Raw genomic sequence first — 17,827 nt, forward strand, 5'->3', positions numbered from 1 at the left:
TTTTTGAGACAGAGTCTTGCTCTGTCACCCAGGCTGGAGTGCAGTGGCACGATCTCGGCTCACCGCAACCTCCGCCTCCCGGGTTCATGCCATTCTCCTGCCTCAGCCTCCCGAGTAGCTGGTACTACAGGCGCCCGCCACCACGCCCAACTAATTTTTTGTGTTTTTAGTAGAGACGGGGTTTCACTGTGTTAGCCAGGATGGTCTCGATCTCCTGACCTCGTTGATCCGCTCACCTTGGCCTCCCAAAGTGCTGGGATTACAGGCGTGAGCCACCTCGCCCAGGCTTGATTTGTATTTCTTTGATGATTAGTGATGTGGAGCATTTTTTCATACACCATTTGTGTGTCTTCTTTTGAGAAATGTCTGTTCAGATGTTTTGCCCATTTTTAAATCAGATTTTTTTTTTGCTATTAAGTTGTTTGAACTCCTTATATATTCAGTTATTAATCCCTTGTTGGATGAGTAGTTTGCAAATATTTTCTCTCATTCTGGGGGTTACCTCTTTACTTTGTTGATTGTTTCTTTTGCTGTGCAGAAGCTTTTTAGCTAGCTGTAATCCTCTTTGTCTATTTTTGCTTTTATTGCCCGTGCTTTTGAGTCTTACACAAAAAATCTTTGTCCTGGAGTGTTTCCCAATGTTTTCTTCTAGTAGTTTCATAGTTTCAGGTCATAGACTTAAGTAATTAATCCATTTTTATATATGGTAAGAAATAGGGGTCTAGTTTTATTATTTTGCATATGGTTATCCAGTTTCCCCAGCACCATTTATTGAAAAGACTCTTCTTTCTCCAGTGTATATTCATGGCATCTTCATTGAAAATTAGTTGGCTATAAATGAATGGATTTTATATCTGAGTTCTCTGTTGTGTTCCCATTGATCTGTGTATCTGTTTTATGGCAGTACCATGCTGATTTGGTTATTACAACCTTGTAGTATATTTTGAAATCACATAATGGGATGTGATGCCACCAGCTTTGTGCTTTTTGCTCAGTATTGCTTTGGCTATTTGGGGTCTTTTGTGGTTCCATATAAATTTTAGGGTTTTTTTTTTTCCTATTACTGTGAATAATATCATTAGTATTTTGAAAGGGCTTGTGTTCAAGCTATAAATTGCTTTGGGTAATATTGCCATTTTAACAATGTTAATTCTTCCAATCCATGAGCAGGGACTATCTTTTCCTTTTTCGTATGTCGTCTTCAATTTCCTTTGTCAAAATTTTATGGTTTTCCTTGTATAGATCTTTCACGTCTTTGGTTAAATTGATTCCTAGGGGCCAGGCACGGTGGCTCATGCTTTTAATCCCAGCACTTTGGGAGGCTGAGGTGTGTGGATCACGAGGTCAGGAGTTTGAGACCAGCCTGGCCAATATGGTGAAACTGCATCTCTACTAAAAATACAAACAACAACAAAAAATTAGCCGGGCATGGTGGCATGTGCCTGTAGTCCCAGCTACTCAGGAGGCTGAGGCAGAAGAATCGCTTGAACCTGGGAGGCTTGCAGTGAGCCAAGATTGAGCCACTGCACTCCAGCCTGGGTGACAGAGCAAGACTCTGTCTCAAAAGAAAAAAAAAAAAATTGATTCCTCGGTATTTTATATTCTTTGTAGCTATTATAAATGGCATTGCTTTCTTGATTTCTTTTGCAGATTGTTTGCTGTTGATGTATGTAAATGCTGATTTTTGTACATTGATTTTGCAACTTTACTGAATTCGTTTATCAGTTCTAACAGTTTTTTGGTGGAATCTATAGATTTTTCTAAGTATAAAATTATGTCATCTGTGAACAAAGCTAATGTGATTTCTTTCATTCCAATTGGATGCCCTTTATTTCTTTCTCTTTCCTACTTGCTCCGGCCAGTACTTCCAATATTATGTTGATTAAAAGGTTGAGAGTGGGCATTCTCGTCATGTTTCACATCTTAAAGAAAAGGCTTTCCATTTTTCCCTGTTCAGTATGATGTTAGCTGACAGTTTGTCAGATATGGCCTGTATTATTTTGAGATATGCTCCTTCTCTACCCAATTTGTTGAGAGTTTTCATCATAAAGGGATGTTGAATTTTATTGAATACTTTTTCAGCCTTGATTGAAATGGTCTTATGGTTCTGTTAATGTGATGTATCACATTTATTGATTTGCAAATGTTGAACCATCCTTATGTCTCTAGGATGAATCCCACTTGGTCATGGCAAATGGTTTTTTTTTGAGACAGAGCCTCACTCTGTCCCCAGGCTGGAGTGCAGTGGCACAATCTCGGCTCACTGCAACCTCTGCGTCCCAGATTCAAGCGATTCTCCTGCCTCAGCCTCCCGAGTAGCTGGGACTACAGGCATGTGCCACTATGCCTAGTTAATTTTTGTATTTGTAGTAGAGATGGGGTTTCACCATGTTGGCCAGGATGGTCTCGATCTCCTGACCTCATGACCCGCCTCCCTCAGCCTCCCAAAATGCTGGGATTACAGGCGTGAGCCACTGTGCCCAGCCGCCAAATGGTCTTTTTAATGTGTTATTGAATTCAGTTTGCTAGTATTTTGTTGAGGGGTTTTGCATCTATTTTTATCAGTGATATTAGCCTGTTGTTTCTTTTCTTGTCATGTCCTTGTCTAGTTTTGGTATCAGGGTAATGACGACCTTGTAGAACAAGTTTGGAAGTATTCCCTATTCTTCAGTTTTATTGAAGAGTTTGCATGGAATTGGTATTAATTCTTGTTTAAATGTTTGGTAGAATTCAGCAGTGAAGGTATCATGTCCTGGGCTTTTCTTGATGGGAGACTCTTTGTTACAGCTTCAATTTCATTAGTCATTATTGGCTTGTTCAGGTTTTCTATTTTCTTCATAGTTCAGTCTTGATATTCATATGAACAATATTCATAGTTCAGTCTTGATAAGTGTATATGTTCAGGAATTTATCCATTTCTTCTAGGTTTTCCAGTTTGTTGGCATGTAGTTGTTTATAATAGTCTCTAATGATTCTTTGAACTTCTGTAGTCTCACTTATGTCTCCTTTTCAGTTTCTGATCTTGTTTACTTGGGTCTTTTCTCTTTTTTTCTTAGATAGTCTAGCTAAATGTTTGTTGATTTTATTTTTTCAAAAGAACCAACTTTTTGTTTCATTGATCTTCTGTATTTTTTAAATCTCAATTTCATTTATTTCTGCTCTAATCTTTAGTATTTATTTCCTTCTACTAATTTAGGGTTTGGTTTGTTATTGCTTTTCTAGTTTCCTGAGGTGCATCATTAGGTTATTTATTTGAAATCTTTCTGCTTTTTTGATATAGTTGTTTGTTGTATAAACTTCCTTCTTAGTATTGCCTTTGATGTATCCCCCAGATTATGGTATATTTCCTTTTAATTTGTTTTGAGAGACTTTTTACATTTTTTTTCTTAATTTATTCATTGTCCCATTCATCATTCAGGAGCATGTTGCTTAGTTTCCATGTATTTGTGTAGTTTCTGAGGTTCTTCTTGTTATTGATTTCTTGTTTTATTCCATTGTAGCCAGAAAGGATACTTGATATTATTTCTTCTTTTCTGAATTTGTTGAGACTTGTTTTGTGGCCTAAGACATGGTCTACTCTGGAGAATGTTCCATATGCTGATGAAAAGAATGTGTATTCTGCAGCAGTTGGGTGAAATATTCTGTAAATATTAGTTAGGTCTACTTTGTCTAGTGTGTAGTTTAATGTTTCTTTATTGATATTCTGCATGGATGTTCTGTGCATTACTGAGAGTAGAGTGTTGACATTCCCTACTATTATTATATTGTAGTCTATCTCTCCCTTTAGATAGATTTATGTTTGATTTATATATTTGGGAGCTCTAACGTTAGGTGCATAGATATTTATAATTGTTGTATCATCTTGCTGAATCGACCCCTTTATCATCATATAGTGACCTTCTTTGTCTCTTTTTACAGTCTTTGACTTGTAGTCTATTTTATCTGGTATAAACATATCTACTTCCCTTTTTTGGTTTCCAGTTGCGTACTATATCTTATTTTAACTGGACACACTTCCAGTCTATGTGTATCTTTTTTTTTTTTTTTTTTTTTTAGACAGAGTCTTGCTCTGTCAGCCAGGCTGCAGTGACATAATCTCGGCTCACTGAAATCTATGCCTCCCAGGCTCAAGCAATTCCCCTGCCTCAGCCTCCCGAGTAGCTGGGATTACGGGCATGTGCCACCATGCCTGGCTAATTTTTGTGTTTTTAGTAGAGACGGGGTCACCATGTTGGCCAGGCTGGTCTCGAACTCCTGACCTCAGGTAATCCGCCCACCTTGGCCTCCCAAAGTGCTGGGATTACAGGTATGAGCCACCGTGCCCAGCCCAGTCTATGTGTATCTCAAAAAAAAAAAAAAAAAAAAAAAGGTATCATTCTGTCTTCTAAGCTGGAGTGCAGTGATACGATCATAGCTCACAGCAGCCTCAATCTCCTGGGCTCTATGTGTGTCTTTATAGGTGAAATGGGTTTTTTTGTAGGCAACATATAGTTGGGTCTTGTTTCTTTATCCATTTAGCCATTCTATGCCTTTTAATTGGAGAATTTAATTCATTTACATTCAGTGTTATTTTGATAAGTAAGAACTTACCACTACCATTTTGTTGCTTGTTTTTTGGTTGTTTTGTAACTCCTCTCTTCCTTTCTCTCTTTCTTACTGTCTTCCTTTGTGGTTAAGTGGTTTTCTCTGGCAGTATGTTTTAATTCATTGCTTTTTATTTGCAGTGACTCTATTATAGGTTTTTGCATTGTGGTTACTATGAGGCTTACAGAAAACATCTTATAAATATAACAAGTCATTTTACAGAGGTGGCAACTTATCACAAAGTTCTAGATCACAAAGAAAATAATAGAAACAAAAATGAAAAAAATTCTACACTTGAACTCCATCCTCCTCACATTTTGTCTTTTTATTGTCTCAATTTACATATTTTTATACTGCCTATCTCTTAGTAGGCTGCTGTAGCTATATTGTTTTTGATAGATTTGCTCTTTAGGTTTCATACTAGAGTTATGCATGAATTGCACACCACATTTACAATATTAGAATATTCTGGGTTTGTCCATGTATTTAATTTTACCAGTGGATTTTATACCTTCAAGTGTTTTCTTTTTGCATGTTCGTGGGGTGGTTTTTTTCCTTCTGGTTGAAGAACTCTCTTTAGCATTCCTTGTAAGATGAGTCTGGTGGTGGTGAATTCTCTGCTTTTGTTTGTCTGAAAAAGATTACATCTCTCCTTAATATTTGAAGGACAACTTTGCTGGATACAGTATTCCTGGATGGCAGGGTTATTTTGTTTTGTTTTGTTTTTTCCAGCACTTTGAAAATGTCATCCTACTCCCTCCTGGCCAATGTGGTTTCCATTGAGCAGTCTATTGCCAGACAAACTGATGCTCCTTTATATGTTATTTGCTTTTCTCTTGCTGCTTTTAGGATCCTTTATTTATCTTAGACTTTTGAGAGAAAATTATTTTATGCCTTGGGGTGCTCTTATTTCGGTAGAATCTGTTTGATGTTCTCTGACCTTCCTGTACTGGATATTCATATATTTCTCAAGTTTTGGAAAGTTTTCTGGTATTATTTCTTTGAATAGAGTTTCTGCCCCTTGCTGTTGTACATATCCCTCTTGAATACCAATAATTCTTAGATTTGGTGTTTAGAGGTAATTTTCTATATCTTGTAGATAATTTTCATTCCTTTTCATTCTTCTTTTTTCTCCTATGGCCATATTTTTTATTAGCCTGTCTTCAAGCTCACTAATTATTTCCTCCACTTAACCCATTCTGCTGTTAAGAGCCTCTAGTGCATTTTTCTGTTTGGCAAATGTATTTCTCAGTTCCAAGATTTCTGTTTGTTTGATTTTTTAATTATTATTTCAATCTCTTTGTTAAATTTTTCTTGGCTGGGCACAGTGGCTCATGCCTGTAATCCCAGCACTTTGGGAGGCTGAGGTGGGTGGATCGCCTGAGGTCAGGAATTCAAGACCAGCCTGACCAATGTGGAGAAACCCTGTCTCTACTAAAAATACAAAAATTAGTCTGACATGGTGGCAGGCACCTGTAATCCCAGCTACTCGGAGGCTGAGGCAGGAAAATCACTTGAACCTGGGAGGCGGAGGTTGCAGTGAGCCGAGATCACGCCACTGCACTCTGGCCTGGGCAAAAGACTGAAACTCCATCTCAAAAACAAAACAAAACAAAAGTCTCAAACATTTCTGAATTGATTTTATGTGTTATCTTGGCGATCACTGTTTCCTTAAAACTGCTGTTTTGAACAATTGGTCAAGGGGTTCATGTATCACTGTCTCATTAGAGTCAGTCACTGGTTCCTTGCTTTGTCCATTACAGAAGGTCATGGTTCCCTGTTTGCTGTTGTTTCTTCTGGATGTCTCCTCTGTTTTTGCACTGAAGGATCAGTTATTTACTCTAGTCTTCTAGGTTGGAAGAGTTTGGAGGGCTCAGAAGAAGACAGGATGATGAGGGAAAATTTGGAGCTTTTTAGATACTGAGTAAATGGTTGTGACCAAAATACTGAGAGATATAGCCAGTGAAGGCCAGGCTGATGAGGTTCAGATGGAAATGAGTAAGTTACTGAGAACTGGATTAAAGTCACTTGTGTTATGCCCTAGCATAGAACTTGGCTGCATTGTGTTCATGTCCTTATAATCTATGGAAGTTTGAACATAAGAGTAATGACCTAGGGTATCAGATGCAAGAAATTTTTAAGCAGCAAAGCATTCAAGAAGTGGCATGTAGCCAGGCATGGTAGCTCACATCTGTAATCCCAGCACTTTGGGAGGCCAAGGCTGAAGTATTGCTTGAGCCCAGGAGTTCAGCCTGCGTAAACAGTGAGACACCGTCTCTACAAAAGATTTAAAAATCAGCCAGACATGGCAGTGCATGCCTGTGGTCCCAGCCACTCAGGAGACTGAGTGAGACAGGAGGATCAATTGAGCCTGGGAGGTCAAGGCTGCAGTGAGCCATGATCATTCCACTGCACTCCAGCCTGGGTGACAGAGCGAGACTCTGTCTCAAAAAAAAAAATTTTTTTAGGAAAAAATAAATATAGGAGTGATGTGGCTGCTTCCAACAGTCTAAATCAGATGCAGGAGAAAAGGAATGACTTAAAGTTGGAACTTATATTTAAAAGGGAAGCAGAGCATGGAAGTTTGGAAAATTTGCAAACTGGCCCTGTGGCAGATAAATAAAAATCATTTTCAGGCAAGAAATATAAGCAGGCTGCAGAGCAAGCACTTGCTAAACAGATTGGCACAACTAAAAGGGAGCCAAGTGCTAATATCTAAGACAATGGGGAAAAGGCCTTGAAGGTATTTCAGAAATCTTGGAGAAACCCTCTCCTATTATAGACCCAGAAGCCTAGGAGGAAAGAATGGTTTTAGGGGGCAGGCCCAGAATGCAGCTGCTCTGCTCTGCCTCAGGAGGCTGCTCCCCGCATTCCAGTTACTTCAGCTCCAGCCTCAACTCACAGGAGCCCAGGTACAGCTTGGGCTACCACTCCAGAGGGTGCAAGCTATAAGCTTTGGTGCTTCCACATGGTGTTAAGCCTGCAGGCTCACAGAGTGCAAAAGTAAAGGAGGCTGCCAGCTTCCTGCTGGATTTCAAAGGATGTTCCAGAAAGCCTGAGTGTCCAGGCAAAAGCCTCCTGCAGGGGCAGAGCCCTTATGGAGAACCTCTACTAGGGCAGCACCAAGGGGAAAGGTGGGGTTGGAGCCCCACACAGAGTCCCTACCAGGGCACTGGCTAGTGGAGCTGTGAGAAGGGGTCTGCTGCCCTCCAGATCGCAGGATGGTAGAGACATGGGCAGCTTGCATCCTGAGTCTGGAAAAGCCACAGGCACTCAACCTCAATCTGTGAGAGCAGACACGGAGGCTGCACTCTGTAAAGCCACAGAGGCAAGGATGCTTGAGGCCTTGGGAGCCCTCCCCCTGCACCAGTGTGTTCTGGATACAAGACATGGAGTCAAGGATCATTTGGGAACTTTGAGGTTTAATGTCTTCCTTGTTGAGTTTCAGACATGCATGGAGCCTTCAGCCTCTTTCTTTTGGCCAATTTCTCCCTTTTGGAATGACAATGTTTACCCAATGCCTGTACTGCCATTTTATCTTGGGGTAAATAACTTGATTTGATTGTACAGCCAAAGAGATGGAAGGAGATGAGACTCAGATGAGACAGGACTTTGGACTTGATGCTGGAATGAGTTAAGACTTTTGAAGACTAGTGGCAGGGAATGATTGTATTTTGCAATGTGAGAAGAACGTGATATTTAGGGGGCCGGGATGGAATAATATGGTTTGGATGTCTGTTTCCTCCAAATGTCATGTCAAAATGTAATCCCCAGTGTTGGAGGTGGGGCCTGGTGGGAGTCCCCACCACTGTGTGGGGGTGGATCCCTCATAAGTGGCTTAGTGCCGTCTCCTTGGTGATAAGTGAGTTCTCCCTCTGAGTTCCTATGAGATCTGGTTGTTTGAAAGTGTGTGACACCTCCACCCTCTCTCTCTTGCTCCACTTTCACCATGGAATATGCCTGCTCCCCCTTTACATTCCACCATGGTTGAAAGCATCCTGAGGCCTCACTAGAAGCTGAGCAGATGCCAGTGCCGTGCTTCCTGTACAGCCTGCAGAACAGTGAGCCAACTCAACCTCTTTCCTTTATAAATTGCCCAGGCTCAGGTATTTCTTTATAGCAATGCAATAATGGATGAACACACTAATTAGGGACATACAAATCAAAACTATAATGAGATACCACTCACATACATTAGGATGGTCACTATTAAAAAAACAAAACAAAACAAAAAAACAGAAAATAACAAGTGTTGCTGAAAATGTGGAGAAATTGGAACCTTTGTTCAACGTTGTTGGGAATGCAAAATGATGCATTTACTGTTTCTCAAAAAATTAAAAATAGAATTACTATATGATCCAGTAATTTCATTTCTGGGTATATACCCAAAAGAATTGAAAGAAGGGTCTCAGATATTTGTACACCATGTTTATAGCATTATTATTTGCAATAGCTAAAATGTGGAGGTAACCCAAATGTCCATCACTGGATGAATGGATAAGCATAATGTGGTATATACATGTAACAGAATATTATTTAGCCTTGGCCAGGCGCAGCAGCTCACGCCTGTAATTCCAGCACTTCGGGAGGCCAAGGCAGGTGGATCATTTGAGGTCAGGAGTTTGAGACCAGCCTGACCAACATGGAGAAACCCCACTTCTACTAAAAATACAAAGTTAGCCAGGCGTGGTGGCTCATGCCTGTAATCCCAGCTACTCGGGAGCTGAGGCAGGAGAATCTCTTGAATCTGGGAGGTAGAGGTTGCAGTGAGCCAAGATTGTGCCATTGCACTCCAGCCTGAGCAACAAGAGCAAAACTCCATCTCAAAAAAAAGAAAAGAAAAAAAACAGAATATTATTTAGCCTTGAAAATTAAAAAAAAAAAACCCTCTGACATGCCACAACATGAATGAGCCTTGAGGACATTTTGCTACCTGAAATAGGCCAGTCACAGAAGGACAAATAATGCGTGAGTCTGTGAAGTACCTAGAGTAGTCAAAACCATGGAAACAGAAAGTAGAATGTTGGTTTCCAGGGCCAGGACATGGAGGTATGGGGAATTATTGGTTAGTGAGTATAGAGTTTCAGTTTTACAAGATAAAAAGTGTTCTAGAGACAGATGGTGGTGATTGGTTGCACAACATTATGAATGCACTTAATACCACTAAACTGTGCACTTAAAAAATGATGAAGATGAGGCGGGCATGGTGGCCTCATCTTAACCTGTGATCCCAACAGTCTGAGAGGCTGAGGCAAGAGGATCAGTTGAGCTGGGAGTTCAAGACCAGCCTGGGCAACATAGGGAGACCCTGCCTCTACAAAAATAAAAATAAAGATAATTAGCCAGGTGTGGTGGTGCATACCTGTGTCCCAGCTGCTCAGCTACTTGGGAGGCTGGGCAGGAGGACTGCTTGAGCCCTAGAGGTCAAGGCTGCAGTGAGCCATGATCGTACCACTGCACTCCAGCCTGGGCAACAGAGTGTGATCCTGTTTCAAAAAAAAAAAAAAAGAAAAAAAAGAAAATGGTTAAGTTGGTACGTTTTATGTTATGTGTATATTACTGCAATTTTTTAAATGGAAAAAATAAGATCATCAGCATCATTAGTCATCAGGGAAATAAAACCACAATGAAATATCCTGTACACCCACAGGAATGGCTAAAATTAAAATACCTGACAAAACTGGAACTTTCACACATTGTTGGTGTTACAGACTGATTGTTTGTGTCCCTCCAAAATTCTTATCTTGAAACCTCCCGTGTGACAGTATTTGGTGATAGGACCATTAAAGTTAAGATTAAGGTTAAATAAAGTAATAAAGGCTGGGCCCTGATTCAATAGGATTAATGTCCTTATAAGAAAAGACACTAAAGAGCACCCTCTCTCTCTCTCTCTTTCTCTCTCTGTCTCCACTCACACACTTAAAAAAAAGGTCATGTAAGCACACGGCAAGATGGCAGGGGCCTTCTTGGCTAGAAGAAAGCCCTCACTCTGGCACCCTGACCTCGGGCTTCCTGCCTCCAGAACTGTGAGAAAATAAATGTCTGTTGTTTAAGCCATTCTGCCTATGGTATTTTGTTATGGCAGCTTGAGCTGATTAATACAGTTGGTAAAAGCATAAAACGGTACAGCCACTCTGGAATAGGGCTAGTGGTTTCTTATAAAACTAAACATAACCTACCCTATGACCTAGCACTCCCACTTCTAGGTATTTATCCAAGAGAAATATAAATGTATGTTCACAAAAAGACATACAGAAATTTTCCTAGCAGCCTAATTACAATAACCAAAAATCAGAAACAGCATAGTGGATAAACAAACTGTGACATACCTATACAACGGAAGAGCACACAGCAATAAAAAGGGACAGATGACTGATACAGTGACACAGATGTGTCTAAAAACATTATGCTGCATAAATGAAGGGTTACACAGCAGTACCTATCATACAGTTCCATGGGTACGGAATTCTAAAACTGGCAAAGTAATTTATATTGCAGAAAATAAGTCAAAACAACTGCTGCCTCTAGGGACTGGAGCAGGGATCGATTAGGAAGAGGTATGAGGGAACTTTCTGGGTGGCTGGTCAGGTTTTATGTCTTGACTGGAGTCCAAGTTTACATTGGTAGATGCACTTGTTAAAACTTAGAGGTACAGTTCATGTATATATTTCATTGTATATAGGTTTTACCTCAAAGGGAAAAATTATAACAAATATTGAATCCTGGGCAGTAACTTGCACGTGGAACTATTTCAGGGACATGTACTGATTGGTCCCCATCCCTCTGTAGCCTTCTCTCTGCTGCTCCCACTGTGGCACCAGCATCGTTCACTCCCATGAGTTATGGCTGATAGCTGTGCTTCTCAAACTCCCCCAAGCAAACAAATCACCTGAACAGCTTGAAAAGTTGCAGATTCTGGGTGAGTAGACCTGGGCTGGGGTCCAAGATTCTGCACTTCTAACAAGCACCCAGGAGCAGCTGCTGCTGGTGAGTCTTTGGACCACACTTTGAGTAGTGAGGACTTAGAATCTCACCCTCCTACCTCTTCACCTTTGTTCCCACGAGTTCTTTCTTTTCCAGCTTGAATTGCTTTTCCCATCCCGCGCATTTGTCTTGGCTGTGCCTATCCATATCCCACCTTTTCTAATCCCTCCTTTTCCAGCAGATGACAACTGATATTAATGATCATGATGAATGACAACAACAACAATCACTTGTGAGACCTTACTAGCTGCCAGGGACTATGCTGCATGCTTCAAAAGGATTATTGTGTTTAATCCTCTTAACAGCCCTATGAGGTCAATACTAATATTGCTCCCAGTTTACAGATGAAGAAACTGAGGTATAGGGAGGTTAAGTATTTGCCCAAGGTCATATAGGCTCAGCCATCTGGATGCTTCCCTTGGCTCCAGTTGCTGACAACCTTATGGTAACAGTCTTTGTGTGTGTGTGTGTGTGTGTGTGTGTGTGTGTGTGTGTGCACTTGTACACTGGCACATTTTCACTTTCCACCAAGATTACACTGTCCCTGAGGGTAGAGACAAAATAATTCTCTTTCTCTCTTCCCTTTGTCTTTATCTCCCTGCCTCTTTCTCTCTATCTCTCTCCCTCTCTTCCCAACTACAGCCTTTGCCAAAGCAAGGCCTCTTCTTCAAAATAGGACACACCCCTCCCAGCCTCATCTGTGACCAGGGCACAGGGTGCCACTCTCCCCTCCCACAGGCTCAGGCTGGGCATCCCCCAGCTCGAAGCTCCCTGCTCTTGCCCTGTGACCCCCAGTAGCCACTCTCTTCCCTTGCCCTGGTTCAGCTGATCCCTATTCCCCGATGGCTCCTTCCAGTCTAGTCTCCCCATCCCAGGGAGTCTGGAGTCTGGGCAGTGGCCTGGACCCCTTGAGAAAGTTGCCCTACTCCCTCCCCAAACACACCTCAACAACCCCCTTAGATCCTGGTCACTGCTATTTCCTGCCCACCCCCCTCCGCCCCCCGTCCTGCAGGCTCTGTGAGGGCAGGGACCAGGCCTGTCTTGTCACAGCTGTGTCACCAGTGCCTGGCATTTAGTCACAGTAGGTGGGTGAAGGAGGGGCTCTCCCAGCCTGGCCTGGGCTGGGCAGAGCATCTTCAGCCCACCCAAGTAATCTTGCACCCATTCGGTCTCTGTTACCCTCCCGCCTAAGCCCAGAAGCCCACAGGCCCGGGACTTGCTGTCCTCAGACCTAGGATACTTCCCACTCCAAGCCCCAAATCCTACCCTGCCGTTCCCAGCCCTTCTCCAGCACCCCTCCCTCTTCACAAAGGCTGCTTGGCGGTTTCTCTCCGCCCTCCCCAAGACTGCTCTTGGGAGGGTATGTTGCTTTCCCAGACAAGCTCAGCGATGCAATTTCTCCTCCTAAGAGGTTAGGCTAATTGCTCTTCCCAGAAGAAAATCCTCAGAGGTTTTCCTTGTGGTGGACTGGAAGGTTTGAAAATTATATGTTCAGGGCAACATCGGGTTACTATATTAAATCCAGTTTCACGGATCGCGGCCACGGGGAGCACAAGCGCCACCTGCTGGCCCACAGCGAGATTCCAAGAGAGGACGAGACCTGAGCACAACCAGCTCAAGACGCACAGTCCCCGGTCACCGTCAATCAAGTGTCCGGTCCTCCATTTCGCTTTGGTTTTTCTCATTGTTGGAGTTTTTTTTTTTATTGATACATCATAGTTATACATATTTTGGGGGTGTCTGTGATTTTTTAAATTTAATTTATTTCTTATTCTGTTTCTTCCCCCCACCCCTCTTCTTTTGGGACAGGATCCCCATCTGTGGCCCAAGCTGGTCTCAAACTCCCGGCCTCAAGCTATTCTCCCACCTCAGCCTCCCAAAGTACTGGGGTCACAGGCGTGATCCCCACGCCCAGCCTCAGGTGATATTTTTATTACATGTGTACAACATGTAAAGAGAAAATCAGACACCCATCACCCCAAACATTTATATCTACTTTGTGTCAGAAACATTATAAGTCTTCTAGCTATTTTGAAATATACAATACATTATTGTTAACTATAATTCCCCTGCAGTAGTATCAACTACTAGATCTTATTCCCTCTGTCTAGCTGTATGTTTGTACCCATTAGCCAACCTCTCTTCATCTTCCCCAGCCCCCTTCCCAGCCTCTGTTAACTATCATTCAACCCTCTAGCTCCATGAGATCCACTTTTGTTTTTAGCTTCCACATGACTGAAAATATGTGGCATTTGTCTTTCTGTGCCTGGCTTATTTCACATAACATGATGACCTCCATTCCACCCATGTTGCTGCAAATGACAGGATTTTATCATTTTTTATAGCTAAATAATATTCCATTGTGTATATACGTCACATTTTCTTTCTTTATTCATCCATTGATGGACACTTATGTTGATCTGTATCTTGGCCATCAGGAATAGTGCTGCAGTAAACAGGAGGGCAAATATCTCTTCAATATACTTATTCCCTTTCTTTTGGATATACGTGTGTGTGTGTGTGTGTGTGTGTGTGTGTGTGTGTGTATCCAGCAGGTTTTTCTCATTTTAAAAACTCCATAGAAATAGTGATGTCTAATGTACTAACTCTTACATATGTAAATTGTGTGGTTTCCAGGGATACAGAGACTTAACAAATAGCAGACATGGCTGGGCGCAGTGGTTTACGCCTGTAATCCCAGAACTTTAGGAAGCCGAGGCAGGTGGATCTACCTGAGATCAGGAGTTCGACACCAGCCTGGCCAACATGGTGAAACCCTGTCTCTACTAAAAATACAAAAATTACCTGGGCGTGGTGGCAGGCACCTGTAATCTCAGCAATTCAGGAGGCTGAGGCAGGAGAATCGCTTGAACCCAGGAGGCGGAGGTTGCAGTGAGCCGAGATCACGCCATTGCACTCCAGCCTGTGTGGCAAGGGCAAAACTCCGTCTAAAAAAAAAAAAAGACATATACTTTATAAACATTAGGAAAAAAATTTGTGTTTGTATACACACACATACATACATACAAATGCACAAAGATACCTCTACCACTTCTTCTCTTCTTATCATTATTATTCTTTTTTTTTTTTCTTTTAAGACAGTGTCAGGCCAGGCGCCGTGGCTCATGCCTGTAATCCCAGCACTTTGGGAGACCAAGGCGGGTGGATCACGAGATCAGGAGATCGAAACCATGGTGAAACCCTGTCTCTACTAAAAATACAAAAAAATTAGCCAGGCGCAGTGGCGGGCGCCTGTAGTCCCAGCTACTCGGGAGGCTGAGGCAGGAGAATGGTGTGAACCCAGGAGGTAGAGCTTGCAGTGAGCCCAGATCGCGCCACTGCACTCCAGCCTGGGTGACAGAGCGAGACTCCATCTCAAAAAAAAAAAAGACAGTGTCTTATTCTGTCACCCAGGCTGGAATGCAGTGGTACAATCTTGGTTCACTGGTGCCTTCACCTCCTTGGCTCAAGGAATTCTCCTGCCTCAGCCTCTTGAGTAGCTGGAACTACAGGTGTGTGCCATGACATCTGGCTAAGTTTTTAAAAAAATTTTTTTAGGGATGGGGGTCTCACTATGTCACCCAGGCTGGTCTTGAACTCTTGACCTCAAGCAGTCCTCCCACCTTAGCCTCCCAAAGTGGTGGTATTACAGGCATGAGCCACCATGCCTGGCCTCTCTGTCACTTCTTACATCAAATTTGGTTATGCAGTTTTTATCCTATTAGATTGTTTTAAAGTCCTAGTTGAACAAATGGTTTTTTTCAAACACTAATGTAGGAATGTTAATTAGAAGTAATTTTAAGTCTTTTAAATTATAAAAGCACATATTCATTAATGCAGCAATTCCTTCACTGGTAACGAACCCTACAGATACATTCATGTTCATGGGTGTAAAGATGTATGTACAGGGATTCCTCTGAAGCCCAGTTAATAGTAGCAAAAAAACTGGGACTCACCAGTAGGGCACTAGTTAGATAAAGGATGGTGCATCCATGTGATGGAAAACCAGCAAACCACTGAAAACGATGACAGAGATCCATACTCACTTATGCGGAACCATCTCCAAGAGGCAGTGTTGAGTGAGAAAGCACCATGGGAGTGTCTGGACTGTGGTGATGGTTGCACAACTGTATAAATTAACCTTGAAAATCACTGAACTGAATTGGGTATGGCAACTCACATCTGTAATCTCAGCACTTTGGGAGGCTGAGGCAGGCAGACTGCTTGAGCCCAGGAGTTCGAGACCAGCCTGGGAAACATAGTGAAACCCCATCTCTACAAAAATTACAAAAGTAGCCAGGCGTGGTGGTGCATGGCTGTAGTCCCAGGTACTAGGGAGGCTGAGGTGGGAGGATTGCTTGAACCCGGGAGGTCGAGGCTGCAGTGAGCTGAGGTCGTGCCACCGCATTTGAGCCTGGGCAACAGAGTTGAGACCTCATCTCACACACAAATCACTGAACTATACTCTTTAAATGAGGGGATTTTATAGTATGTGAATTATACATTAATAAAACGTTTTTAAAAGATCATAAAAAAGTATGTAACTTATTCTCTTCTATAAAACTAAATTAAAAATACACACATAGGTTGGTATATGCATGGTAACATTCTGGTGATTATTTCTTGGGGAGGGGAAAGGTTTATTACATACACTGTACAATATATATTTTTTTTACCGTAGCAGGTACACTTGTTCAATAATTTTTAATAGTTGCATTTATCCTTTCATAGAATATCCATTACAATAGTTTCCACAGCAGTAATTGACCAGGGATTTAAGTAGAATAAGAAATGCCTTTAATATTTTAACAACTTGAAGAAACGAGGAATTTTTTCTTCACCAAAAGGCATAGGTTTTACACACAAGGAACTTATGTCTTTATAAATCTAATTTAAAGAAAACATTTCTTCCATGATGATAAGACCTAGAATAGACACACAAATGGTGGAGTTTTTTACTGCTGATAAAAATAATAACTGTTTGTTATAGAAATTTTAAAAGAGAAAAATATAAAAAGAAGAAAACAACAATCACCTATACCCCACCCGATTACAGCAACTGCAGACATGTTGGTGTATTTTCGGCCAGTTACTATGTGTACACAATTTTCTGTTTTACAATGTTATGAACCCACTACAAATGATTATGTATTTTCTTTTTTTTCCATCAATTCCCATATCATGCAAATTTTCCCATGTTCTTAAAATGTTATTCAAGAACATGATAGTACATCCTATGGTCATTTTACTTACTTATTTATTTATTTATTTATTTATTTATTTATTTATTTATTTTTTGAGACAGAGTCTTACTCTGTCACCCAGGCTAGAGTGCAACAGCGCAATCTTGGCTCACTGCAACCTCCGTCTCCCGGGTTCAAGCTATTCTCCTGCCTCAGCCTCCTGAGTAGCTGGGATTACAGGCACCTGCCACCACACCTGGCTAATTTTTGTATTTTTAGTAAAGACGGAGTTTCGCCACATTGGCCAGGCTAGTCTCGAACTCCTGACCTCAGGTGATCTGCCCACCTCGGCCTCCCAAACTGCTGGGATTACAGGCGTGAGCCACCGCGCCCGGCCTGTAGTCACATTTATTGAATGCACTACCTGCTAAGCACAAAGCACTCTACTAGGCACTTTATATATATTATTTCACTTATTTTTCACAATGAGACAGGTATTATCTCCATTTTACCTATAGGAAGCTGAGGCTAGGACCCTTGCTCATCGACTGTCTCCCAGAGAGTTAGTGCCAAAGCAGGAGCTGAAAATCAGGTCTGTCTGATTCCAAAACCCACACTCTTCCATTAACAAGGAGAAAAGAAGGGCTGTGGTACATTTGCCAAAGAAAACCACTTTTCTAGTTGTCCAAGTGCCAAGGGCCACAGTCCACAGTCAGGGTTTCAGAATAAACTGAGAGTCCTTGAATGGATCAATAGGTTTTGAAATGCAAATATAACTTTTTCAATTTTTTATTTTTTAGAGACAGGGTCTCACTCTGTCACTCAGGCTGGAGTGCAGTGACACAGTTATGGCTCACTGAAGTTTTGACCTCCTAGGTTCAAGGGCTCCTCTCACCTCAGCCTCCCAAGTAGCTGGGACTGCAGGTGCTGCCACCACACCCAGCTAATTTTTATTTTTAGTAGAGACAAGGTCTCACTATGTTGACCAGGCTGGTCTCAAACTCCTGGCCTTAAACAGTCCTCTCACTCAGCCTCCCAAAGTGCCTAGATTGCAGGCATGAGCCACTGCACCTAAT

General features: G+C 41.8%; 1 annotated feature.

The window, feature by feature from the left end:
- Positions 12,598–13,110: an enhancer, noted in NCBI's record as "H3K4me1 hESC enhancer chr14:69310317-69310829 (GRCh37/hg19 assembly coordinates)". NCBI's record gives its function as "activates a minimal SCP1, AML or CMV promoter by ChIP-STARR-seq in naive H9 embryonic stem cells {active_cell/tissue: H9 hESC(naive)}" and the evidence as "EXISTENCE:reporter gene assay evidence [ECO:0000049][PMID:30033119]".

Source organism: Homo sapiens, chromosome 14 (genome assembly GCF_000001405.40).
Source record: "Homo sapiens chromosome 14, GRCh38.p14 Primary Assembly".
In the NCBI taxonomy this organism is placed as follows: domain Eukaryota; kingdom Metazoa; phylum Chordata; class Mammalia; order Primates; family Hominidae; genus Homo; species Homo sapiens.